This window comes from Homo sapiens, chromosome 3 (assembly GCF_000001405.40).
Source record: "Homo sapiens chromosome 3, GRCh38.p14 Primary Assembly".
In the NCBI taxonomy this organism is placed as follows: domain Eukaryota; kingdom Metazoa; phylum Chordata; class Mammalia; order Primates; family Hominidae; genus Homo; species Homo sapiens.
Genome location: NC_000003.12, coordinates 187352594 through 187378784, shown reverse-complemented (window position 1 = coordinate 187378784; position 26191 = coordinate 187352594). Strand labels below are relative to the sequence as shown.

The 26191-nt window shown below is 43.0% G+C and overlaps 1 protein-coding gene across 1 annotated transcript, besides 3 other annotated features; it reads right to left on the bottom strand.

Moving 5' to 3' along the window:
* Positions 1-6708: 6708 nt before the first annotated feature.
* Positions 6709-10400, bottom strand: RTP4 (receptor transporter protein 4). Its single transcript, NM_022147.3, has 2 exons — positions 10189-10400; positions 6709-7997 (listed from the first exon to the last, which is right to left on the bottom strand). Exons 1-2 carry the CDS (start codon positions 10341-10343, stop codon positions 7412-7414), a joined length of 741 nt encoding a protein of 246 aa, NP_071430.2. The 5' UTR covers positions 10344-10400; the 3' UTR covers positions 6709-7411.
* Positions 10190-10539: an enhancer, noted in NCBI's record as "active region_20969". NCBI's record gives its function as "activates an Ori minimal core promoter by ATAC-STARR-seq in GM12878 lymphoblastoid cells {active_cell/tissue: GM12878}" and the evidence as "EXISTENCE:reporter gene assay evidence [ECO:0000049][PMID:35858748]".
* Positions 17651-18220: an enhancer, noted in NCBI's record as "NANOG-H3K27ac hESC enhancer chr3:187078353-187078922 (GRCh37/hg19 assembly coordinates)". NCBI's record gives its function as "activates a minimal SCP1, AML or CMV promoter by ChIP-STARR-seq in naive H9 embryonic stem cells {active_cell/tissue: H9 hESC(naive)}" and the evidence as "EXISTENCE:reporter gene assay evidence [ECO:0000049][PMID:30033119]".
* Positions 18221-18791: an enhancer, noted in NCBI's record as "OCT4-NANOG-H3K27ac hESC enhancer chr3:187077782-187078352 (GRCh37/hg19 assembly coordinates)". NCBI's record gives its function as "activates a minimal SCP1, AML or CMV promoter by ChIP-STARR-seq in naive H9 embryonic stem cells {active_cell/tissue: H9 hESC(naive)}" and the evidence as "EXISTENCE:reporter gene assay evidence [ECO:0000049][PMID:30033119]".

The following is a 26191-nucleotide window of genomic DNA, read 5'->3' as shown; positions in this document are numbered from 1 at the left end:
GAATTGGTCCCCAGGCCTCTAAAGCAAATAATAGCCCATTGTTAGAGATGAAGCATGTGGGAGTCAGGTAATAAAAGGAGTTCTAGTTCAGGTTAGACTCACCATGGGTATACTGGTTCCACGGACTCACCCAGTGGCCATTTCCCCAGTTCCTGAATTTATCACCGGAAAGGATGCATGTGGTAGATGGCAGAACCCCTTGCTGATTCCTTAGTCTGTGGGTTAGGAGCTGCTATAATGAAAAAATCTGAGGACCCTCCTTAAAAATCCAACACAAAACCTTAAAATATTATATCCCAAGGGAAAGAGTGCCATCCTTAAGACCTAAAAGATACAGAGATGGTAATCTCCAGCATATTTTCATTTAATTCATCAGTCTGGCCCCTACAAAAAGGAATCAGATCCCAGAGCATGACACTGGACTATCTCAAACAACGAAGTGGAAATCTCAATTGCAACTACTGTGCCAGAAGTGATACTTTTGCTAGGGTAAATTCACATAGCTTCAGATATATGGTATATGGACATTGATCTGGCATGTGCATTCTTTTTCATCCCTAAGAAGGAGGATCAGAAGTAGACTGTATTCATTTGGGAGGATAATAGCATACATTTACACTTTTGTCCCAGGGTCATGTTAACCCTCTCACCCTCTGCCATAATACAATCTGCAAGACCTGACACATCTGGACATTCTGAAGAATATCACATTGGTTTATGCTATCAATGACATCATTGATGAGTCAAAAGTGGCAACTGCATCAGAAGCCTTGGAAAGACACATTCACTCCAGAGAGTGTGAGATAATCTCTGTAAAGATTCCCTGCCAAATCAGTAAAACATGTAGGGGCATAGTAATTTGGAGCATGCCAGGAAAAGACTTCCAAAATAAAGGTCGAATTATTGCATCTGGACTCTCCCACCACTAAAAGGAAACACAACACCTGATAATCCACACTGCTCTGACCCATTTACCAAAAGACAGAGATAGCTGACAGCTTTGAATAGGACCCAGAATAGGAAAGGGATCTGCAGCTGGTCCACAATGCAACGTAAGCAGCTTCACCGCATGGGCCATATTATTTGGCAGACCCTCTGGAATTAGTTATCTGTAGTGGGAATTGATACCATGTGTAGTTTATGACAATCCCAATGCAAAACAAAATACAGTTCATAATACTTGTGCTCTGAAGCAAGGCCATGCCTTCTTCATCAGAGGATTGTATGTCATTCAAAAAAAACAACTCCTGCAATCTATGTGGCTGTGGTTGAGTTAGAACTCATGACCATGAGACATGCAGAGATAACGGGGCCAGAGATGCCCATCATGGCCTAGGTTCAAAACGGCCCATTAAGTCCTAAAACCACTAAAAATCCATCAAAATATGGGAGCAGTGCAGCCAGGCTAGAGAAGGATAAGTCCGGGCTAGAGAACACAAGTGAGCTAGAAAACCGGTGGTCCAGCCCTCATGTCAACCACCACTGTTGCATTAGTACCTCTCCCTCAGCTCACATCTGGCCATGTCGTGGCTGTGGTGGTATGCAGGTGGGGGGATTGTCACTTTTAACCAGCCAACAGATGAAGGAAAAGGCCAATCATGGTTAACCAATGGTTTAGTTCAATATGTGGTAAAAGCTGAAAACAGGCTGTGGCTGCATTACACCCTCCATCAGGGGTGGCCTTGAAAGGTAGTAGAGAGAAGAAATCCTCCCAATGGGCAGAGCTTTGATTGGTGCACCTGTTCATCCACTTGATTTGAAAAGCTAAATGGACCAGTAAGCATAAGTATAGACTCATGTGCAGTGACAAATGGCCCAGCTGGTTGATCAGAGGCCTGGAAGGAGAAACCTGGGAAGATTAGAGATAATAAAGTTTGGGGAAAAGGAACGTACACAGGTCTTTAAAAGTGAGCACAAAATGTAAAGATCTCTGTATTTTATTTTGATTCCCACCAGAAAGCACCCATCATGGAAGAGGCACTAGACAATTAAGTAGACAGAATGTCTATGCCGGTTGCTGATAGCAGACTGTGCCATCTGCCACTCCAGTACTGGCACTATGTGTGCATGAAAGGAGTGGCCATGGAGGTAAGAATGGAAGGTATGCATGGGCCCAACAGTATGAGTTTCCACTCACTAAGTTTGATATGAATAATCCCACTGCTGAATGTCCAATCTGCCAACAATACATGAGCCCTCAATGTAGCACCATCCCTTGAGGAATCAAACCAGCTATTTGGTGGCAAATTATATCCCTTCCATCATGGAGAGGGTAGTGATTTATCTTGACTGCGCTCAGCACATACTCCACATATGGCTTGTGTTTCTTGCGTGTAGAGCTTTGGCCAGCACAAATCTCCAAAGACTTGTGGAGTATTTGATCCGCAAGCCCAGGATGCTTCATGTAATGGACTAAATTCTGCCCCCTCCCCCCAAACAAAAGTATGTTGAAGAGCTAAACCTTAGTACCTCAGAATGTGACCTTATTTGAAATTATGGTCATTGAAGATGTAATTAGTTAAAATGAGGTCATACTGGAGTCCGGTGGCCCCCGATCCAATATTACTGCTATTACTGGTGTCCTTATAAAAAAGGGAAATTTGAACACAGATATAAACACAGGGAGACTACCGGGTGAAGATAAAAAGCAAGAATTAGGGTGACGCTTCTACAAGCCAAAGAACTCTAAAGATTGCCAGCAAACCACTAGAAGCTAAGTGATAGGCAGGAAACTGATTCTCTCTTACAGCCCTAGCAAACTAACATAGCACATAATGTCACATTAGACCAAGGGACAAAATTTGTAGCAAAAGAGTTACAGAAGTGGCAATATGACCATGGAATTTCCTGGTTTTACCAAATACTGCATTTCCCAGAAGCCGCCAGCCTGATAGATTAATGGCAGATCAATGATCTTTAAGATGCAGCTGTGGTGCAATTTAGAGATGCTATCTCGTAAAGATGAATCACCATCCACCAGAACGCAGTATACAACCTGAATCAATTACCATCACATGATGCTGTGCTCACAATAAGTAGAATACATGGGTCTGGAAATCAACAGGTGGTTTAGGAGTAACTCTGTTGACAATGCTTCACATTAAATCACTTGCCATTTTCTGTGCTTCCCATTGCCACAACTCAAGGCTCTGCAGGTCTAGAGATCCTAGATGGCGAATGGTTCCACCAAGAAACACAGCGGAAGTCCCTATGTCTTGCTATGGCTGATCATTCCAGAGATCCTTTGCCAAGAGTGCAGCAGACAAGAAAGAGAGTTATGCTCCTGAATGCAAATCAATACCATAATGTGGTATTGCAAATCAATACCACAATGATATACCATCTCACACCAGTCAGAATGGCTATTTAAAAAGTCAAAAAATAACAGATGCTGGCAAGGTCGTAGAGAAAAAAGGAATGCTTTACACTGTTGATGCCAGTATAAATTAGTCCAGCCATTGTAGATGACAGTGTAGTGATTCCTCAAAGACATAAAGACAGAAATACTATTTGGCCCAGTGATCCCATTACAGGGTATATACCCAAAGGAATATAAATCATTCTATTATAAAGACACATACACGCTATATGTTCATCACAGCTCTATTCACAATTGCAAAGATATGGAATCAACCTAAATGCCCATCGATGATACAATGGATAAAGAAAATGTGGTACATATACACCATGGAATTCTATGCAGCCATAAAAAAGAATGAGATTATGTCCTTTGCAAGGACATGGATGAATCTTGAGGCCGTTATCCTTAGCAAACTAATGCATGAACAGAAAACCAAATACCACATGTTCTCACTTGTAAGTGGTAGTTAAATGATGAGAACACATGGACACATAGAAGGGAACAACTCACAGTGGGGCCTCCCAGAGGGCAGAGGGTGGGAGGAGGAAGAGGATCAGGAAAAATAAGTAATGGATACTGGGCTTAATACCTGGGTGAGGAAATAATCTGTATAACAAACCCCCATGACACAAATTTACCTATATGACAAACTTGCACATAGACCCCTGAACCTAAAATAAAAGTTTAAACAAAAAAGAGTTATCTTCCTGATCATCAGAGGGAAATAGGACTACTATTAAACAATGGGTGTGGGAAGAATATGTTTGCACCCAACTGATTCACTGGCGCATCTCTTGGTATTTCCCTAAGTTTGATAATATTTAATAGATGGACAAGGGAAGAAGCCACAGACTGAGAAGGACGTGGTGACCCAGGGCTCACAGTCCTCACGATAAGCATTTGGATAGCCTTATAGGTAAGCCACCTAAACCAGCAGAGGTGTTAGGATAAGGAAAATCAAGAACTGGAGGTAGAAAAAAGAGATTATGGGTGTACATCTGCTGTCCCAAGACCAGATGCAGTGGTAGGGGCTAAATTTATCCACTAACCTTCCTCTTGTATGTTTCTGCCAGAAAAGAATCCCAGAAGACCTTTCTCCAGATGTAGACTTTTTATACAAAGCAAGTAGATTTGAGTTTTGCAAGATGTGGATTGTAGTGGAGGCTGTGGTGCACCACTCACATCACTTCCTTGAGGACTAAGGTGCTCATTGTCCAAGCTTTTGGGAACATTGCCTATTGGATGCTTGTAGCTGAGACTCTACCACAGATCTGATTCCAGCCAAAGGTAGCTGTCTCATCTAGGGTTATCCCAAAGGATGATGTCTAATTCTTGTCTAATGAATATTATACCCTCTCTTACCTCACTGAGGTATAATAGTTTTACTTTTTAAATGTTTTTTTGGCTTTCTTATCCTGTAATCATCTCTATTTCTTCAGAGTCTTTTTTGTTTTAACCTTTTTTCTTCTTTGCCTTTATATTAGGGGACTTTATCAAACATTTGAGAATCCCTTGGCAGTCTGTCCAGTCACATTTAAGGTGCAAATATGAGACCTTAAAAAGCCACCTGCAAGCTCTGGCGGAGGAGATTCCATCCGATGGGTTCACTCTGAGGTTATCGGAATTGGGGCCCCCACCCCCTTTCAATGTACATATTTTCTTTTATCTTGAGCAGATCCATTTTTCTAGAAAAGGAGTCCTCCACTGTTATGTGTCTATGAGGGATGGGCAGGTAGGTTATAAAACAGCTCCAAGGGCTGATAGTGGGGTAAGAGGGTCTCATTAGTCAGTATGTGAACAACCATGGTCTTTTTGATTGCTTGTGGCTCCTCCTCTCTTAAGGATTTCCCTGAGCCATAGTCCCTATGAGAAATGTCTTCAGAGAAGCAGCCTCCATTCTTCTCCCTCAGTTGGGTAAAGTGTGGTTACGAGGCTGCCTCGGAGAGGGGAAAGAAATTTGGTATAGTCTTTCAGCCAACACTCCCACTTTTGCCTTCCCAGTGCCCACTTTCAGAGCTACTTCATCCTACAGTCTGGAGCCTTTCTGGAATTGTGCAACATGAATCACATCTTGGTTTTTCCACACTAAACTTATATTCTGGCTCACCCTACTCTGCTAAGTCAGTTACCTGCCACTAGTCCATCAGTGTTCTATCTTCTAACCATTCTCCTTGCCCTTCTCTATTGATGCCTTTATTTCCTTTTGCTGTCACTCAGTGTGGTTTCAAGAGAGATCAGAGGTAAATATATGTGATCAACTCTCCATGTTTTACCCCCACCTATTTTATAGATGGAGAAACTAAGGCCCCGGAAGGGATTATGACTTGCTGAGGTCATACAGCATTGCTAGGCTATAAATAATATTTTCATGTAGATCCCCAGGCCAATGTTCTTTGTGAAGAAAACAGGAGGAATTCAGGAATTCAATAGTGTGGTTTGGTTTGGGGAGGGGGTATGTATACAGAGAGAGCACTGGTAGGGGGATCCTGAAATAAAATGAAGAGATGGGCAGAAAGAAGGGAGATATTTTCATCCTTAGGTCTTTTGGTCGCTTATATTTGTCTTCAAATTCTTTCAAGATATTTATTGTGTACAGGACCCTCTTTCTGTGTTTCCCACTATTCTATTGCAAGACAGACTTCTCACTATTTCTATTCTGTACTCCATTCTTTCCCAAAAAATAGATGGTATTTTAAAAATGTGGTTCTACTCAACTTGCCCATATCCTCAAATGCTTGCAATGACTCCACATTGCCTATGGGATAAAGTCCAAATCCCCTCGTTTTTCAATAATTTTGAACTAGGTGAGGAGAGAGGATGACAAGGAAAAGTAGAAGGAAGAGATGGGAGTAACTTGACAAAAGAAGGGAATAAGTGTTGCTGATCAGGAGAGGTTGAAGATGACTCTGAGGTGAAAAGTTTGGGCGACTTGGGGGATTTAAAACAGGAGAGTCAGAGGCGTTGAGCTTGGCTTTAAACATGACAGCCACACAGAAATGCCTAGCAGACAGATGAAAATAGGAGGTGAAGGATGCATCAGAGGATCTCAGGATTGGCAAGTTCTTCTGTGATTCCCAATCCAATGCTGAAAGAAGTGAGAATATGATAGCTCCAAGGATCATCAAATCAAAGGGAATCTCTTTGAGATGGAGATATTTGAGTGGGTTTAAGTAGGGGAGAAAGAAGAACAAGAGGAGATGGGGCTGACTGGTATTTCTAATGTATAAAGTGCTCTTTTTTCTATCAAACCTGAAGCATACCTAAAACATAATTCCCTGATTCATACTGTAGTATTGATAACTATATTCATTTCTTATTGCTTCTCTAATAAATTACCACAAACTTAGTGCATTAAAACAAGACAAGTTTATGAGCAAGCAGTTCTGAAGGTCAGATGTCCAAAATCAGTGTCACTGGGCTAAAGCCATGTGCAGGCAGGGCTGGTTCCTTCTGCAGACTCCAGGGGAGAATCTGTTCCTTTGTCCTTTTGGGTTTCTAAAGGCTGCCTGTACTTTTTTGCCTGTGACCTCTTCCTCCAACTTCAAAGCACTTCAACCTCTTGTTCCATTGACAAATCTCTTTTTTCTGATTTTGAGCTTGTTGCCTCCCTGTTACAAAATCCTGGTTCTTATCCACCCGGACAATATGAAATAATCTAACCATTTCAAGGTCCTTAATTACATCCGCAAAGTCCATTCTACCATGTAAAGTAACATGTTTACAGGTTCTGGGGATTAAGTCATGCATATGTTGGGAGACACCATTATTCAGCCTCCCACACTTTCTGAGCTAAGTATATTGATATCACTGAGTGACTTAGTGAATGAATGATTGAAGACTTTTTAGCAATTCGACAATATTTATTACTAAATCCATTATGTACTTGGTCATGTTTCATACTGTTTTCAGAGGATGGCTAGGAAACCAGTGTTTATTCTACAAACTTGATCCTGCTTGGTCTCAAAATGAATTTTCAGTTATATTAAAGTGGCAGCCAGTTCATTGACTACCATGGAATTAAAATAAGAGAAAGTGGCAAGCCTATTTTCATCATTCTGATGTAAAGCATTTGACTACAATAAATACAAGCAGCAAAATAAAGACACAGATGTTCAGTGGATCTGGGTCTCGACTGGGCCCTAATTTCTCATACCCACTCCCCTTAGCCTCTTTTGCCTCAGCTGACTGGTTCTTGGCTTGGTTTGCGAGGTACACAGCACCAATTCCAGGTGAGGAATTCCCAGTCTTTAGGTGGGGGAGTAGGGATTTGGACGGCTTTGTCATGCAGCTTTTTAAGCCCTGTCCACAGATGCCCAAAGTGCATGCCTCACAATTGGCTGTGTCATGGGATCCTTCCAGGGACACTTCCAGGATTACTGGCATTTCTGGAGACTTCCTCGTGCCATTTCCATAGTATTTCTTCAGTATATGCTGCACCAGGTTGCTCAGAATCCTCATGGTGCTATCCGAGGAGAACTCAGGCATCTCATATTGGGACCAGGAGCACTTCTGGCACCTTTGGCCAAAGAGCCTCATACGCACCTGACCCTGGGATGTCCAGTGCTCCCAGTACGTGTGGCACAGAATCTGCACTTGGGCGGAAGCCCAACTTCGCTGGCAGGAGGAACACCGGAACCTGCAGTCAGAAGGAAGACACCCATTATGCCTTCATCTGGTTGTTAACCTGAGGGAAAATGGTCTTGGCCCCTGTCACTAACATCCTTTTCCATTTGAAAAAATGCATGTGATTTAGATTGTCCCAGTCATTGATAAACAGGAACAAGAAGGACTATGTTTCAGATAAGGCTTTTTCCTGTGACCTACTGAGTATCCACCCATATGTTACACCCAAGTCTACCTCTTTGCTAGTAAAACATCTCCAGATGCCTCTGAGGGAAAATCATGTCTGCCATCTTCCAGAGAAACTTATTCCTAATTTTGGTCATAGAAAGCTTTGGTAAAGTATCTATTTTGATGCATACAATATAATTGGTCTTTATAATTTTATCCCATTTCATCTGTGAAGTAAGCACTATTAAACCCAATATCCAGATAAGGAAACTGAATCATGAAAAGGATACGCAACCTGCTTAAGGACACACAGGGTAAATGTTAGAGGCATGCTGCTAATCTCAGGCCATCTGAAATTCAACTCATTTACCTGCTGTAACACGTTGCCTCTGGTGAGTAGTGTAGCTAATCTCTCACACCTGGAGAAACAGACTGCATCCCTCATACCTGGGTTGAAGATCCAGTTTACATCAGGAAGACCTTGGGCAAAGCCCTTCCCTTCTATAACCCTCATTGTTTGAATCCATAAAAAAAAAATTCAAGGGTTATATTGGCAGCATCAAAAGAGACGATGTATGTGAAAACACTTTGTAAACTACAAAATGCTTTTCAAAAGCTGATTGATATTTTCCAAAAGTACACTGGTAGGTTGCTTTTCCGATCTCGAAATGACAATCAAATCAAATCATCCCAACAGGAGAAACACCTTCTTTCTGTTTGGAGGAGTGCCAAAACGTTGTAAGACATCATGAGTCCCTCAAAAAGCTCTGGCTGGTGTGGACAGAAATATTTACACATTTCCCTGGATTAGAAAGCAGAGCAACATGACTGCTATACGGGCTCTGACAAGTGACTTGAGAACTGTTCTGGAGACGTTTAGGAGGCTTTATTTAAACAACAGATTCTGCAGCTAAAAATAAGCATATACTGTATTTGATACAATATATAATAATACATATATTATTTATAAATTTATTATTCTGAAATACATAGTACATATGTATATATAATTATATATCATTTATGTATACATATACATATATATTTTATCTTATCCCATTATCTTATGGGAATGTATACGAAGGAATACTTACTCTGCCTAGGAGAACCAGAGAATGCTTTTAGGAGGAGGAGGCACTAGAGTGGGCCTTGAAGGATGAGCAGGGAGGGGTGAGGGGAGGGTCTGCTGAACAAGCAGAACTCCATGAACAAGAGTGTGGAAGTCTGAAGATGCATGGCATAGCTAATAGTCCATAAGGAATGGAGTAGGCCATACCTGAGGCAGGATGGGGCAGGCAGGCAAGCTGAGTAATAGGTCAGATGAAAACTATACCGAAGGTCCTGTGTGTCATTTAAAAATAAATTTGATTATCCAGGTCAGCAATTCTCACCCTCCTAACATGGTCAAGGAAACTGGTTCCTGCAACCTGGAGGCTTGCTGGGGGTTAAAGAGGGAAGTGGTGAGTAAGGGAGGAGTATTACTTGGTGACTCCATGAACTGGGTTTTAGATTTAGTTTTTGCAACATCATTCTATACTATTATCCCCAGGCCTTCAGTAAAGCAATGTTCAGAGTAACTGCTTGATCTTAGCCAATTCTTAAGATATTTAAAAAAAAAAAAAAGGCTCCGTCCCAGGCTTGTACTGAACAGTGCCAAGGCTTGGAGAGCTGGTGCAGCTGGGGGAAGCTGGTCAGGACTGCTGGGGAGACTGCAAAAGACTCTAGAGGTAGTCTGGAACAAATGACGTGGTGAGAAACTAGAAGGGAAAATTTATGGAATAGGGAGCCTTCTCCAGGGTTTTCCAGAAATATTTACGGAGGGAAACCTAGTAAAAGAAGAAACTTCCAGCAGTTAAACAAAATGGAGGTTTGGAGTCGTCTTATCATGTCGACCCTAAAGAGTACTATGACCACAATAGGATGGAGGCCCTGGTGACATTTACTCCTTCAACAAGCTCTCAGAGGAATAAATCATGCTAAGCTGAGCCTGAGCCTCTCTTCTCAGAAGAGCTATTGCCTGGGAAACCCACACTCACCAGCCAAATGCTCTCTGTTGGTATTGCTTCCACCCTTGAGCCAGGCAGTCTAGCTGAAGGTTGCCATCCAACTTCAGCGTCCATGTGGCCCGGGGTTTTGCCTCTTGGATTAGTTCTTGAAATGTCTGCTCCCAAGTCCAGAAATCTACAACCATTTTTTCCCTCTGAAGCTGAGAGAGTAGCTTTCAGGTTTGCTCGTTTCTCAGGAAGAGACAAACAGTTTCAGTTTCGGTGTTCGGTTCAGTTTCTGTTTCTGTGTATGGACATGAGCTGTTTTTTTCAACCTTCATTTTAGACTGTCTGAGTACACAGAACAAGTCTTTGTTCTGAAAACAGACAGCAGCAAAACTGTGTTAGTTAATAGGCCTTGCTGAGAGAGAGATAAAGAGCTCTGTTCTAGATTCTGGGGTCACATATAAATTCGCTTTTATTTTCTCTCTCTCATTTTTTATAATAGGCAAAGTGAGAGGTGACAGCATGCTGGTAGCCCTCGCAGCCCTCGCTCGCTCTCGGAGCCTCCTCGGCCTCGGTGCCCACTCTGGCCGCGCTGGAGGAGCCCTTCAGCCAGCCACTGCACTGTGGGAGCCCCTTCCTGGGTAGGCCAAAGCCAGAACCGGCTCCCTCAGCCTGCTGGGAGATGTGGAGGGAGAGGCACGGGCAGGAACCGGGGCTGCATGCAGGGCTTGCAGGCCAGCTAGAGTTCTGGGTGGGCGTGGGCTTGGCGGGCCCTGCACTCGGAGCGGCCGGCAGGCCCCCAGCCCTGGGCAGTGAAGTGCTTAGCACCTGGGCCAGCAGCTGCGGAGGGTGCGCCAGGTCCCCCAGCAGTGCCGGCCCACCGGCACTGAGCTCGATTTCTCGCTGGGCCTTAGCTGCCTCTCTGTGGGGCAGGGCTCGGGACCTGCAGCCCGCCATGCCTGAGTCTCCCCACCCTGGGCTCCTGCATGGCCCAAGCCTCCCCGACGAGTGCCACCCCCTGCTCCATGGTGCCTGGTCCCATCGACCGCCCAAGGGCAGAGAAGTGCGGGCACACACGCAGGACTGGCAGGCAGCTCCACCTGCTGCCCCCGGGGCGGGATCCACTGGGTGAAGCCAGCTGGGCTCCTGAGTCTAGTGGGGACTTGGAGAACCTTTATGTCTAGCTAAGGGATTGTGAATACACCAATGGGCACTCTGTATCTAGCTCAAGGTTTGTAAATGCACCAATCAGCACCCTGTGTCTAGCTCAGGGTTTGTGGATGCACCAATCAGCACCCTGTCAAAACGGACCAATCAGCTCTCTGTAAAACAGACCAATTGGCTCTCTGTAAAATGGACCAATCTGCAGGATGTGGGTGGGGCCAGATAAGAGAATAAAAGCAGGCTGCCCCAGCCAGCACTGACAACCGGCTCGGGTCCCCTTCCACGTGGTGGAAGATTTGTTCTTTTGGTTTTTGCAATGAATCTTGCTGCTGCGCAGTGTTTGGGTCTGCTCTGCCTTTATCAGCTGTTAACACTCACCCGGAAGGTCTGCAGCTTCACTCTTGAGCCAGCAAGACAATAAACCCACCAGAAGGAAGAAACTCAGAACACATCCGAACATCAGAAGGAACAAACTCTGGGCACTGTGCCTTTATGAGCTGTAACACTCACCATGAGGGTCGGTGGCTTCATTTTTGAAGTCAGTGAGACCAAGAACCCACCAATTCCGGACACAAAAGCACTGTTTTTGGCACTGGGAAAAGAGTATCCTGTAGCTAAGAAACAATTCCTGCCCCCACAGATGCTCACACCCAGGTGGAGACAGGGAGGTTAGGAGCAGCGTAGGGGAGCACGTGTTTAATGCTCATCTCCTACACCCCATGTATCCTCACCAGTCCCGCGAAGGATTATTCTTGGAGTTTTGCAGGTTAACTGCACAGAAAGCTGGGGTACTTTGTCCAAATCCCCTCAGTTAACGAGCAGTGGAAGTGAGACTTGAACCCGGGTCTGTGTGACTCCAAAACCTGCCATGTGTCCGCCCACCTCACTCCCTGAAGAGAAGCTGAGAATGGCATTTCAGGTTCCAGGCTGGCACACTGGAGCCAGTGTCAGAGGAACCGTAGGGAGATTTCCTGGGTCCTGAGGCAGGAGGTCAGCTGCATGAAGGGATTATCAAACTCTGCCCTCCACTCTGTAAATTATGTGGAAGGGCAAATACGCACAGGTGTGGGGGCCGTCTTTCAGTGGTAGGATACAGAGAATTCCCATTTTGGGGTAAGGGATTGAGATGAGATGACCTTTAAAGACACTTGTAAGTCTAAAACGCGGAGATTCCAGAGAGTAAGCTTTGTCCTCCTGGGGCTTAAATTCAAATAGGGGAGATAGGACAAGCAGGATGCTTACTTAGGTCTTTAGAACACCCGCTACAGCTTCTGTGTCTGAGACAGGATCAGCCTCAGTCTTCCTGGGTTTTCTAGGCTTCCATGTGCCCTGTCAGCGACTCAGAGACACCCTCTCTCTTTCCTTCCCTTCCTGGATACCTGTGTCTATACACATGATATAGGAAGCTCTAAGAACTTGTAATTGGATCCACAGGATGTTAGAGTTGGGAAAACCCTTAGAAATCAACTTATCCCTTTTCCCTTTAATTTTTATACACGAGAAAACTGAGGCTGGGCACCGTGGCTCACGCCTGTGATCTCAGCACTTCGGGAGGCCAAGGAGGGTAGATCACTTGAGGTCAGGAGTTTGAGACCACCTGACCAACATGATGAAACCCCATCTCTACTTTAAAAATTACAAAGTCAGCCAGGCATGATGGCGCATGCCTGTAATCCCAGCTACTTGGGAGGCCAGGGCAGGGGAATTGCCTGAACCCAGGAGGCAGAGGTTGCAGTTAGCCGAGGTCATGCCATTGCGCTCCAGCCTGAGTGACAAGAGCATAACTCCGTCTCAAAAAAAAAAAAAAAAAAAAGAGAAAAGAAAACTGAGACCCAGAGGAATAAGGTCTCTTGCCTAAGGTCACACAGCAAATTAGTGCCAATACAGGGCCTGGCTTCAAGTTCTGCTCTCTTGCTCCACCCATGCATAAATCATTTCTCTACCCTTTCTCTTCACTTTCCGCTGGGTTTAGGATCCCAAGTCCACTCTACTTATTCTGTATCTTCAGAGTGTACCTTCAGAGAGTCCCCTTACCCCTGACACCTCAAATGCTCTGTTTTTCCCAAAAGGTAGCTTGATCCGGCGCATTGCATGCCTTCATGATTTCCTTCTGCCTCTTCTTCATGTGTGCCCTTTGATATACCCAATTGTTCAGGTCAGCCTGGTCCTTTGCATGGGGGTTCAGCAGGAAGATTAAGGGTAACATGTGTTGAAGAAACACACTCAAAGTGCTTTTTCTATTCTGTCACTCAGTAGCAATCAACACAAAAGACTTCTAACCTAATATGTGGGGAGTTTCCTCACCAAGCAAGCAGTCACTTAATTCTGCAGAGGACACCAACTAGATGACCTCTTATTCAATTCAGTTCTAATACTATCTACCCCAACCCAGCATGAGATCCCAAGGGTGGAGGGCCCAGTCCACAAGACTGTTCCCCTACAACTTCAGGCTGGGGCTTGGGGCCAGTTGAAAGCCCCATGTTATTTTACCTGTGCTTCTGACCAACTGGTTATACATTAGGATTCCCTCCTTAAGTTCGATTAATTTGCTGGAGTGGCTCATGGAACTCAGAAGAACACTTACTTATGTGTGCCAGTTTATTATAAAGGTATTAAAGGCGATACAGATGAAGAGATGCATACGGAAAGGTATGGGAAGGGGCATGGAAGCCCACCCTGGGCACACTATCCTCCAGGAGCCTCCTTGTGTTGGGCTATCCTGAAGCTGTCTGAACCCTGTCCATTTGGAGCTTTTATGGAGACTTCATTACGCAGGCATGATTGATTAAACTATGACCACTGGTGATGAACTTAGTCTTCAGCCTTAGAGATTAGGGGATGAGACTGAAAGTCCCAACACTCTAATTCTGCCTGGAACTTTCTGGCGACCAGCTCTCATCCTGAAGCGACCTAGGAGCTGCCGGCCACCTGTCATTTCATTAGCATACAAAAAGATCTCTTCAGAGATTCTAAGGATTTTAAGAGTTGTATGCCAGGAAATGGAGTCAATGATCAAATATATATTTTACAGTATCACTTTGAGATTTGAGGGCTGGATGAAGCCCACTACCTACCTTCCTCATTACCAAGAAGGAACGGAAAAAGAAAGAGAAGGAAAAGAAGAAAATACAGCCCCTTCTGCAACCCTACAGTGTACTTAAGCCACTTGGTGGGTGGTTTGTTTGTTTGTTTGTTTGTTTTCACCAAGGCATTGTAACTCCAGAATAATAGAATTGTGGGACTTGGTCATTGAAAGAGACCTTAGATATCTTGTGACAGCCCCTCCAATTTCACTGAGACCCAGTGAAGAAAATGACTTACCCAAGGAATGCGATGTGATAGTTGCAACCTTCGAGCTTTCAACTGTTGACGGTTTATCCCAGATTGGTTAAACAACTGCTAAGAGACAGCTGGAAAAAAAAAAAAACTGATGAATTCTGAAGAAGCGGGGCATAGCAAAATTTAGATTCTTAACCGTTCAGAGCTGAAATGAATCTACAAGGTCTTATAATCCTGGGATGGCAAACAATGTCTCTCCCCTTTTCTTGTGTAAGACAGACATTGCCAATCAACCTTCTCACCTTTCCCTCGGGGTCTGGGTGTTACTTAAGAATTTCCCTCATCACAGCTTTCTAGGCAGCCACTAGAAACTGATTGGTATATGAAACATTTTTGCCATTTCTGCAATAGTCCAACAAATTACAAAAACTGAAGTCAAGATAGATTTGGGTTAATCAAGGCTTAAGTTCAGTTTTTGGAACCTTAGGCATGTACCCATTTTTGGAATATCATATGACCCATCACAAATAGGGCTAGCACAAAACTTAACACATAGAAATATGTTCTTCTTGGGGACATTTTAGGCTTGGGAAGAAAGGAGGCTAGACAAGAGTGATAAGAATTGGTGGGTATCTGACTGAAAGAGATGAACGTCTATGGCACTTGGCTGGCAAGGCCAGCTCTTACCCCAGGACACTTGTCCAACCTCTGTCTTGGTGGCCAACTGCTCTGTAAAAGGTGAAACAAGAAGTAAAATGAAGTGTGACACCCAGAGCCAACTGCTACTCAGGCCTAGGGGCTAAGCCTGCTAAGAACACCATTCAGGAGGGCAAAGATTAGATTAAAGGTAACCTCTGAGAAATAGCAAGAAGAAATGTATAAAATCAAAAGAACTAAAATAAAAACTTACAAGTTTCCAAAGGGGCCGTTTGTTTCACAGCTTCTGTGAAAATCTGCTGGGCCTCAGGCCTCTTGAGGCCCATTGTTCAGATGTGGAATTTGCCTCAACAGACAATCATTTGGATATTTTTTAGTAGAAAGAATGTCTGTGAGCTTAATGAAAGCTAAGCCCTGGAGAGGTGACCAGTTGAGACCACTGCAAATAGAGACCCCGACTCCTATTCTTGACAGCCACCTCCTCTATTTCAGCACAAATGGTCTTAAAATCAGAGGCAGGACTTTTTCTGCTCTGTTCCAAGGCTGTGGTGAACATAGGTACCCTACATATGCAGAGTGTTTAATCACCCCCATATCAGGCCAATGTCAGGAAACAAGCAGGCCAAAGCTATACTCTGTAAATGAACTTTTCTCCTGTTCCTGATTCACTTTACCAATCTCTCACTCCTGCCCTCAGGGATCACTTTTCATATTAACTACTTGCAGCAAGTTCTTGCCTCAGGCTCTGCTTTTAAAAGAATTTCAACCAATACAGAGTGCAACTTATTTTCTTTTTCTTCTTCTTCTTCCATGTGTAAAAAAGTCCGTTTCCAGTCTGACTTGTAAGAAGCTTGGAAGTCATCACCCCCATCCTCATAGCAAGAGAAAAGCTGAACGAACTGAAAATCAACAACTCTTCTTTTTTTTATATATATATTTTATTTTATTATACTTTAAGTTCTAGGGTACATGTGCACAACGTGCAGGTTTGTTACTCTTAAGTACATCAGAGAATTGAAGTCACAGGGCAAACTGCTACCCTGAAAACTAGAGCAATAGATGGGCAGATACAGGGAGTCACAGCTTATCAGAGCCAAAGCCCAGGAATGGAAGTTCACAGCCGGAACTAGTACTGGTAGGGTAAGAACACTTTAAACTGAAATTGGCAATTGCTGGAAGCTCAGTGAGAACAAGCTTGAGAATTAAATAATTGGGGGGCAAGGGCTCGGTTTTAGGAGAACCCTCACACTTTCAGGAGTTTTACCTCCAGGAGCCCCACCAGGTTGTCACTATGAAGATAGAGAAAAATCTTCTTGTGCATTCATCATGTGAGGAGAAAAATAACCATTTTTGTTAACACTCAGACCTCTCTGTTCTCCCTAACAGTCTGCCCTCAAGGGCAACTGTTTCACCAGAGTAACACACTTGAGTTTACCAATGCCTAATCAACCTGAGAGAAGGGAAATGTGAGCGATAGGAACTACCTCCACTTGTTTCATGTGTGACTTCCTTTCTGCATGACAATGAGGACACAGCCCTCCATGCTTACAGGGTCAGGAAAAGAGAGTCTGGCATAAGCTCAAGGAGTCACGGCTGCCTGTGTGCTTTTTTCTAGGAGAGGAACCAAGTCCCACACAGTTCAGACTAATTATCTACTCAGCTAAAAATATCTGGGAGAGAAATAAAGAATTCAATCAGCCATCAAAATTTCTAAATATATTACAATAATAATTAAACCACCAAGCCATGGAAGAGATTTTAAAGGTTCCCTAAGTTCCATTTATTACTTGCTGGCTTTGTAATAGTTAACAGCTAAGTTACAAGTAAAAACTTGGATGCTATTCCCAGAGTTAGCCCATGGGAAAAGCAATGAACTTAAAATTAGAAGAAGACAAAGTTATCAATTCCACTTCCAATACTTACTGAATTACTTAATCTCTGTGAATCTTAATGTCCTTGGCTGTAAAATGGAAATAATACTCATTCCATTAGATTTAATGATGTATATACTAATATGACATATACATGGACAGTAATAAAAAAATAGATAGGGTTATTTCGAAAAAGAAAGACTATGAAGTGGCATAAGTTAATAGGACTTAAATGGAATACAACATTTGAACTCATTATTTAATGAATGAGAAAGAGATAGGGCTCACATATGGAAAGGAAAGAGATATTTAGAACAAGAATCTAGAAAGTGTCTGTGTCTGTGCGTTCAGGAGAAGAAAAGCAAAAGATAAAATGAATAAGATTTGGAGCACTTTATCTCTTCGAATGCACCTTTATACCCATATCTATATGGTTTCTACAATAACCCAATGGTTTATGTCCTTTATCAAGAAATGTTTCAGAATGGATGCATCTAATGGAGCTTTGTAAAATATAGATACCCAGGTCCACCTCTGGAAATTGATTCCACAGGTATGGGGTGGGACTTGTATTATTTAAAAGCTTCAATAATGATACTGAAATACTCCTGGATAAAAATCACTATAAATAGAAAATATGAAGCTCGAGAAGTTTGACTGACTTGCCAAGATCTCACTTTATGAGTAGCAGAGGTACAATGTGAAACAAGATGCTTTAACTACCACTTGTGTGCTTTCTTCCGTGGTGAAAATCTGGAAGGCAGGGTCAGCCTCTGAGTCTATTCATTATGGCTGAGTTGACCTGGCACTGGAAAGCAGCTTGCTGTCTGATGGATGGAGTCCAGGAGACAGCCACAGTCATTATGTATGAATTTAATTAACAGCAGAGGACATTGAAAGCAAGGGAGGAGAGCTGTGAGAAACAGAGGCAGATCATTTGGGGCTATTACAATGCAAAGCTGAGGCGAGGCCACACAGCCTGCCAATTATAATGCCAATATGTAGTAACTTGACTTTTTACCTCTGCAGTCTCAGTCTGGGCATGAGAATGCAGCTCGGGCCTCAGTGAGACCCCTGTATCCCCTCTTGATGGCAGTGAGAATTTTACGCCTGTGCAAAGAGCAGCCAGGAGCCCAGGAAATGAGAAGGAAACAAACAAGCCCACCCAGGGGTGGTTTGATGAGTGTGTTAAAGGACTCCTGATTTTCACCTCAACGCAGATGTTTTGCAAACATTCAGACTCCTTTCCCCCAGGACAGTTCACAGGATTCACACTGTAGTAGTTTCAGAATTTGACCTAAAGTCTTCCACTGAAGTTATTGATTCTCCTGAGTTCCTTCTGATGGGTCATTTTCACAGCCTGTTTTGTGTACCTCTCTGCGGGGCACTCTTTTGTTCTCAGCCACAGGATCACAGATTTGGTTTTTCATTGTTGTTGGGGCAAAGAGGTTGATTCCCTCTTTCTCTGCCAGCCCTTCAGACAGAGATTTTCTTTTTTCATTTTCATATTTAAAAATCCAGATACAGGCTGGCCCTATGAGCTTCAGTTTTGAGGTATCAGTCGCATACATCAAGAATGTAGAGAGGGATCAGTGTCAGTGCATCCTACTGCTTCAGAACAAAACCCACCGTGCACAGGACGGGCTCTGAAGACGGCGAGGCTGGGAGATCACAGATGATGAATGTTGCTCAGGGCAGCAGCCACTATTGCACACTTTTCTCTCCTTGTGCTTCCCTTACAGCCCCAGGATTTATAATGCTCTGTCTTATCCAATTTTGGTCACAGCCTGATGGATGTCATAAGGCTGTAAATACTCTGAGGTTTTACTTTTCTATGTATGTTTTCTCCTACTTTGTATTTGCTATAATCCATGTCATCCAATAATGGATTAATTTTTAGATCCGCTTTTTGTTCTTGCTAAGCTCCTGAGATTTGGAAGATGAATATTGATAGTATGAATATGTGAAACTGAGCTGAAAAATTATTCTGGCACAAATATATAGGGAGAACAAAATGCAGTATTGTCCCAGGGAATCTGATAAACACAAAGAGAACCAGATTAGAGATAAGAGGACCTGGATTTAAATCCAACCTGTGCCACTAGTCAATTGCCATGATCTGGATGAGCTGCTTCACCTCCCTTTCTGTATAATAAAGCACTGGACCAGGTAGTCTCCAAGTTCGGTTCCAGTTCTGTCATTGTATGGATGGATCAGGGCTCTGGTTCTCCATTAGGAAATGCAAAGAGTCTTCCCAGATCTCAACTTGGTGATGTTGACAGCACCAGGCTGTCCCAAATGTGCAGTGGAGTGATGAACTTGAGCATAGTCCTCCTGAAGGCCAGAGACCTGCCTCCTGGTAGAGCTTACTTTCCCTAGAAGAAAGCAGAGACTTGAGGTGAAGCTGGAAGAGGGAAGGGTGATAGGGTAGATGGGACTGGTCGCCTTGAGGAAGGGAAGTTGCACTAGAATCTTGGCTACTTGATAATACCAAATAAAGATGTTCAATGTGCAAGAGGAAGCAGTTTTATCCCCAGTGGCTCCAAGGGGCTGAACTACATGCAGGAGACAAGAGCCTCAAGGAGAGTAGCTGTTTCAGCATGAATACACACAACCATCATTCCAAGCTGTGGGAAACTATGTAGGTTACCCCACTCACTGCTCTCTCCAGCTCCCTCTCCCAAGTGGTAGCCCAGGAATTTTGATATAGCATAAAGAAGGCCAGGTTAAGAATTAAACACTTGGATTCAAATCCAAGCTCTGCCAGGACTGGGTTGTAGTGACTGGGTGGAGTGACCACATGGTGAGGATATTGAGTAGTTCAGCATCAAATGTCAGCTGGGGAAGATGACTCTAAGGCCTCTTCCAGTCTTAGATTTATGAAAATCTTTGGGTATCTCTCCTTCTTTCCCTGAAATCAAAACTAAAATATGGAAGAAATTGGCATGACTCTGCTTGGTCTGGTGCCAGTCAAACTCTTGGTATAAGTAGGTTAAGTGAGCATTTGTTCACAAAAAGATGGTAAAATCTAGGCTACTACTTCTCCATAGCTTCCTCTAACCCTCACATCAATGAGCACACAATGATTTATATTCATTTGTAGCCTTCTGAAATGTTTTCATTCTTCTCTGTAATTTCCTTAAGTGCAAGTATTAGACAGATTTGAAATATAACAAGTACTATTGAGTCTAGCATTATGGATAAAATCCAATTGAGAATTGAAACAAAGCAAGACATTACTTAGAATCTGCACTTAAGCAAAGAGGCATGATATACATTTATTCTGCCAAGACAAGTCAGGTTTGATGAAGAAAATCCATCCTACACTCCTGACCCCATTCATTTTCAGTGCCCTTCACCTCCATTTATGTAAGTCAGCCAGTTTCATGGCCACATACTAGACCTTGTCATATTCCAAGCTATCTATCTGTCTAACCACATCCAGCTCTCCAATTCAGCTACTTCCACCAAGTCCAGTATTAGACCTTGCAAATCCCTGACCTCTCCATCCATCAGTGCTCTGCTGCCTTTACCTCCTTCTCTCTCTAGTTTAAAAAAATGTAGTTCGACACTAGGAATTGTCCCATATTGCTTGTAAAAATCTCAACCTAGGATTAATCTACTCCCCACTTTATTCAAGCCTGCTGAGTGCTGTTAGGAAAACACACACACACACACACACACACACACATACACACATACATTCATGGCATTGCACATTTATGTTCCCCTATCTCAGTAGAGCCTTCCGTATGGTCCATAAATCTCTCTGCTTTCTTTTTTCCCACTTTACTACAGCTATTTCAAACTGTGTCCACTATCCACAAAATTTCAACTCTGCTGTTTCACTGGCTTACTCTCAGGAAATGACCTTACCTCCTTCACAGAGAAAGCTGAAATCTTCAAATGAGAATTTCCTAAAGTTTATGCCACCAAACCTATAAACTCTCTGTGTTCTGTACCCATGTTTTTATCCTTTGCTCCTACTTGGATAGTAGAAGCATCCTTCAATCTATGTTGAATAATGACTTCAGTGCTTCCCCCAAATCTTGACATTTTAATTTCCCCTGCTCTGTGTATCTAATTTTTTGTTGTTGGCCCCTTCCACTCAGCGCTTAAACATGTTAAAGTAAGTCTTTCTTGTCTCAAATGACCCCAACCTTAACCCTGTATCCCCTTCCCACTATCATTGATCTCCCTGTCATAACCACATTTCTCAAGTGAGCTGCTTACACTCATCACTCTGCTTCCTTCCCTTTCAGCTACTTCTCAACACACCCCCTCTGATTTCTGTCCCCAATACACCACTAAAGCCCATCTCAACATAGTCGCCTTCAAACTCCTTGTTGCTAAGTCCACTAGGTGATTCTCCATCTTCCTAGTGTATACTATAAATTGTATATTGTGGCCTATTTGAAATCATCTTTCTTTGACTTCTGTCATACTGCACAGTCCTGGTTTTGTTTGGTTTTGTTTATTTCCTCAAGTTGCCTGCCACTTTCTAAATAGCCTTTGGATTCTTTCTTCTATGCCTGTTAGTGTTCTTCCGAGTTCTGCCTTCTTATCTCATGCCACACTCCTCTTAGGCGGTGGCACGCATTCCCATGTACAATTGCATTATATATCCTGATGCCCAATACACAGCCCCAATCTCTCCAGAGTTTCCTGATCTTATCCTCAGTTACTCCCTAAAAGTCTCCACTTTGATTTTGAAAATGACAAAATCCAATTTGTCATTTTCTCCCTCAAACCAGCTCCTTCACCTTTATCTGCTGTGTCAGCCAAGGGCCTTATTGCCATCACCTACTAGCACAGCCAGAAGCCTGGATCCCAAGCTGCTCCTCTTTCTCCTTCTTTTTCTGAACATTGAATCAAACAAATCACCATACCCTGAGAATTCTTCTTAGTGAATTAATATCTTTTAAATCCTTCCATTCCCTCTGCTAGCACACTACTTAGGTCACCATTATCTCTGTCCTCCCTGATTCTCTAATCTGTTTTCTAAGCTGTACACAAAGTGACGTTTTGGGTATTCAGTGGCAATTTCATCATGCCAATCCCTCAATTAATACCATTGTTTCTTCTTTAGAGCAAGGCCAAACTTCTCAACTTTACCCCATAACTCTTCATGGCCTGGTCTCTTACCTCTTCAGACCAAGGTTTTTCAACTTTGGCACTCCTGACATTTTGGGCCGAATAATTCCTTGTTGGGGAGGTTGTCCTGTGCGTTGTAGGCTGTTTAACAGCATCCATGGCCTCTACCCACTAGATGTCAGTAACACCACCATGCCAATTGTGATAATTAAAAATGTCTCCAGACATTGCCAAATGTTCTGTGGAGGGCAAAATTCACCCTGGTTGAGATTTACCACGTTAAACTAATTTATCACTACATCCTACACCCTATATGTTTGAAGTTCTAGCCATACTTAACTTTCCTCTACTCTGCTAAGGAACCATTTTCATTTTTTAAAAAATGTGTAATAGTTTTATTGAGATATAATTCACATAGCATACTATCCATTCATTTAAAGTATACAATTCAATGGCTTGTAGTATAATCACAAAGGGGGACAACCATCACCACAATCCATTTAAGAACATTTTATTAACCAAACAGAAACATTATACCCATTGGCAGTCACTCAGTTTTTCTCCAATTCCCCCAACCCTAGGCAATCACCAGTCTACTTTCTGTCTGTGTAGATTTGCCTCTTATGGACGTTTCATATCACATAATACATGGTCTTTTGTGGTTGGCTTCTTTCACTTGGCATAATGTTTTCAAGGTTCAGCCATGTTGTAACATATGTCATTACTTCATTACTTTTTATTGTTGAGTAGTATTCTCTACAATTCTCTACTTTGTACATCATTGCAGTCTCTACATGGAGGTTTGTTCTTACTTTATGGACACTGAATTTTTTTCTCTTTCATTCAAACATTGCTCTTATATTTGTTATATCACTGTCCTTGTACACTGCCAACCCACAGTCTCTACTCTAAGTTCTAGAAGCACAGGTGTATTATGAGTGGCTTCAACAGGCCAATTTAGAAGCCATCTTGCTGTGATCTCATATTAATAATTGGGTTTCTCCTGAATGAAGTCTTTCTTAATCCTCTTTCTCTATCAACCTCCATTCCTCACTTCTCTTTTCATCCTTGCAGTTGAGTTTGGTAAGGTCAGAACTTTTGGGTTGTTACTATAGTGCCCTGTGCATATTTTTATCAAAGCATCACATCATCTGATACCTGTCTTTCTCACTAGTCTAAACATTTTGAAGGCAGAAACTATATGTTACTACTAATATATCCAGTACCTGACACATTGTCTGGCGCAAGTTAAGCATTTAAATAAATTTTTTGTAGAAACAAAGAAAGGAAGGAAGGAAGGTAGAAGGAAGGAGGAAGGAAGGAAAGAAGGAAGGAAGGAGAGAGAAAGAAGAAGAAAGAAGGAAGGAAGGCAGAAAGGGAGGAAGGAAGGAAGAGAAAGAAAGAGAGAGAGAGGGAGGGAGGGAGAGAGGGAGGGAGGGAGGGAGGGAATTAGTCCTTTGATAACCTGCTTTGTATTGTGATTTTCTTGGATGCAGGCCTGGCTTGGTGCTGGTCAGGCTTCCCAGAGCTGGAGTCTTGCCTTTTCACAAAATATGGAAGTGGCAACAAGAACTTCCTGTCAGTCTCTGTGACGACCTGCCCAAGTCACTGATGGCTGCCTTGCCTGGCTTTTATCTTAGATGTACACATGACCACTTCTCCTGGATTCCATGTTGGTGCTCTTCCCATGGACTCACTGACTGAGCTGCTGTCTCTCAATGTTCGTGGTTCTTTTCTGAGCTTGTGTGTGAGCATGTCTCTTGAGCCAGCTGGAAGCTCAATGCAGGCAGGGCAGGGGAAGCAGACAAGCTCATTTAGGAAGCTGGATCCACTGCTGCGGAGGTCAGGGAGTAAACATGGCGGCCTCCAATGGGAGACACTAAAGAGTAGATTCTTTCTTACTCGTTGTTGATTGAGGCAGTATGGAAAGATTTGTTTTGTTTTATATGTAGGTTTAATTTTATTTTTTATGTAACAAACAAAGCCCTGTTTGAAGTGTTTTACAAATGTTAACTTGCTCAATCTTCATAACAACTTCACGGGGTAGCTGCCATTTTTATTATCCCTGTCGAAATACTTTGTGCACACAGCTGATAAGTGGAAGAGCCAGGATTCCAAACCAGATAGTTTAACTCTAGAACCTTGCTTTACTGCCTCTCTCATTGCTGGGCCTTCCCACATGAGCTCTCCTTGTCTGGAGGCTCCTTCAGCATCTCTTTACCTGGCCCATGCCGACCTGCCCTTGAAGTATTACTCAGTATTCTCCTCTAATAAATAAGCTTTTTCTGCTTCCCCAGGCCTAGATTTGGTGCCTGCTCTATGTGCTTCCGTAGCACCCAGGGCATCTTGTATAACAATTTCACACTACAAACCTATTGACTTGACTGATCTCTTCTATGACTTAAACTCTTTAAGAGCAGGAACATTTCTTTGGCTGGTACACATTGCACTCTCACGCTCAGTAATGAAACACAGTTGACCCTTGAACAGCACAGGTTTGAAGTGAGTGGGTCCACTTATACATGGGTTTTCTTCACCTCTGCCACCCCTGAGACAAGACAGCAAGACCAACTTCTCCCCCTCAGTCCACGCAATGTGAAGATGACAAGGATGCAGACCTTTATGATCATCCACTTTTACTTAACGAATAGTAAATCTATTTTCTCTTCCTTATGATTTTCTCAGAAACATTTTGTTTTATCTAGCTTACTTTATTGTAAAAATATAATAAATAATATATATAATACAAAATACATGTTAGTAGGCTGGTTATGTTATCAGTAAGGCCTCCAGTCAACAATGTGCTATTAGGAGTTAAGTTTTGGGGGAGTCAGAAGTCGTACACAGATGTTTAACTGTGTGGTGGGGGCGGGTTGGTGCCCCTAACCCCCACATTGTTCAAGGGTCAACTGTACCTGGCAAGTAGTACATGCTAAAAAAAATTGCTTACATATATAAGTAAATCTAAATATTCCTATTTTAATATTAAAGTATAATGTCATTCTATAAATGCCCATTAGCCTCCCTGCTCCCCACTCATTGAGTTTGACTTAACAGAGTATCAAAGTAAAATAAAAATAACGGGTAAGAGGTTTTCCCAACTTTGCTCTCAAAACTGAATCACACTATTTAAACAAACTACATGATTAATATAGTAGATTCACAAAAGTAAATAAATCTATCCCTGTGTATCTCTACCACTTGCGCACTTGGCTAATTCTGAGAACACACTTAGAAGAGGCATTAAAAACCTGAATATATTACGGATGACTATCCCTTAGCCATTTAACCCTTTCACCTGGGTAGCAGCTGTGTGGCGGAGCAGGAAATAGTGAATTAACGCCACCTCAGCCCTGGAGGCAGCGGCAATGCCAATATGAGTATAAGCCAATTAGTGAGACCTCATGCTTCTTCAATAACAAGGAGTTCAGGTATTGCAGTCTGACCCAGTCAGTCCCATCTCCTACTGGGTCATGTGCTGTGCAGACGTGAACTGTGGGAACTGCTGCAAATTTTTTGTCTCCTTAAGGGAGGTCTGGCTTGGGGTGAAGACATCTGGAAAGCAGAGAACAAAGACTAAAAGAAACTTGGTCCTTGACAACCTCATTAGGCTATGAGGAAAAAGTCCTGTAGCGTTCAGCTTATCTCAGTGAACTGAGTGCTCATTCCCTTTATTGCCTAGACTTGTTTGGATTAGGTTTCCTGGTCCATGCACCGTGAAGGGAGTGCCAGCACACTGGAGCACGCCCGAGGACATATGAGCCGGGTGGCATGGAACTCTGAGGGTCAGCAAATGAGGCCACTGCCCCAGCTAGCTCTCAGATCACATGAAACATGGGAAAGGAAAGAAGCCTGAGCAGAGAATTCCAAGACCCTGACCATCATTTTCTCGAGCCTTCTGCCTACCCTTGTCAGGCTTCAGGAATGCAGACAGGCAAAGAAGAACTGCTGTATATCCAAACCTATTCAGCCCCTCCTTGTCT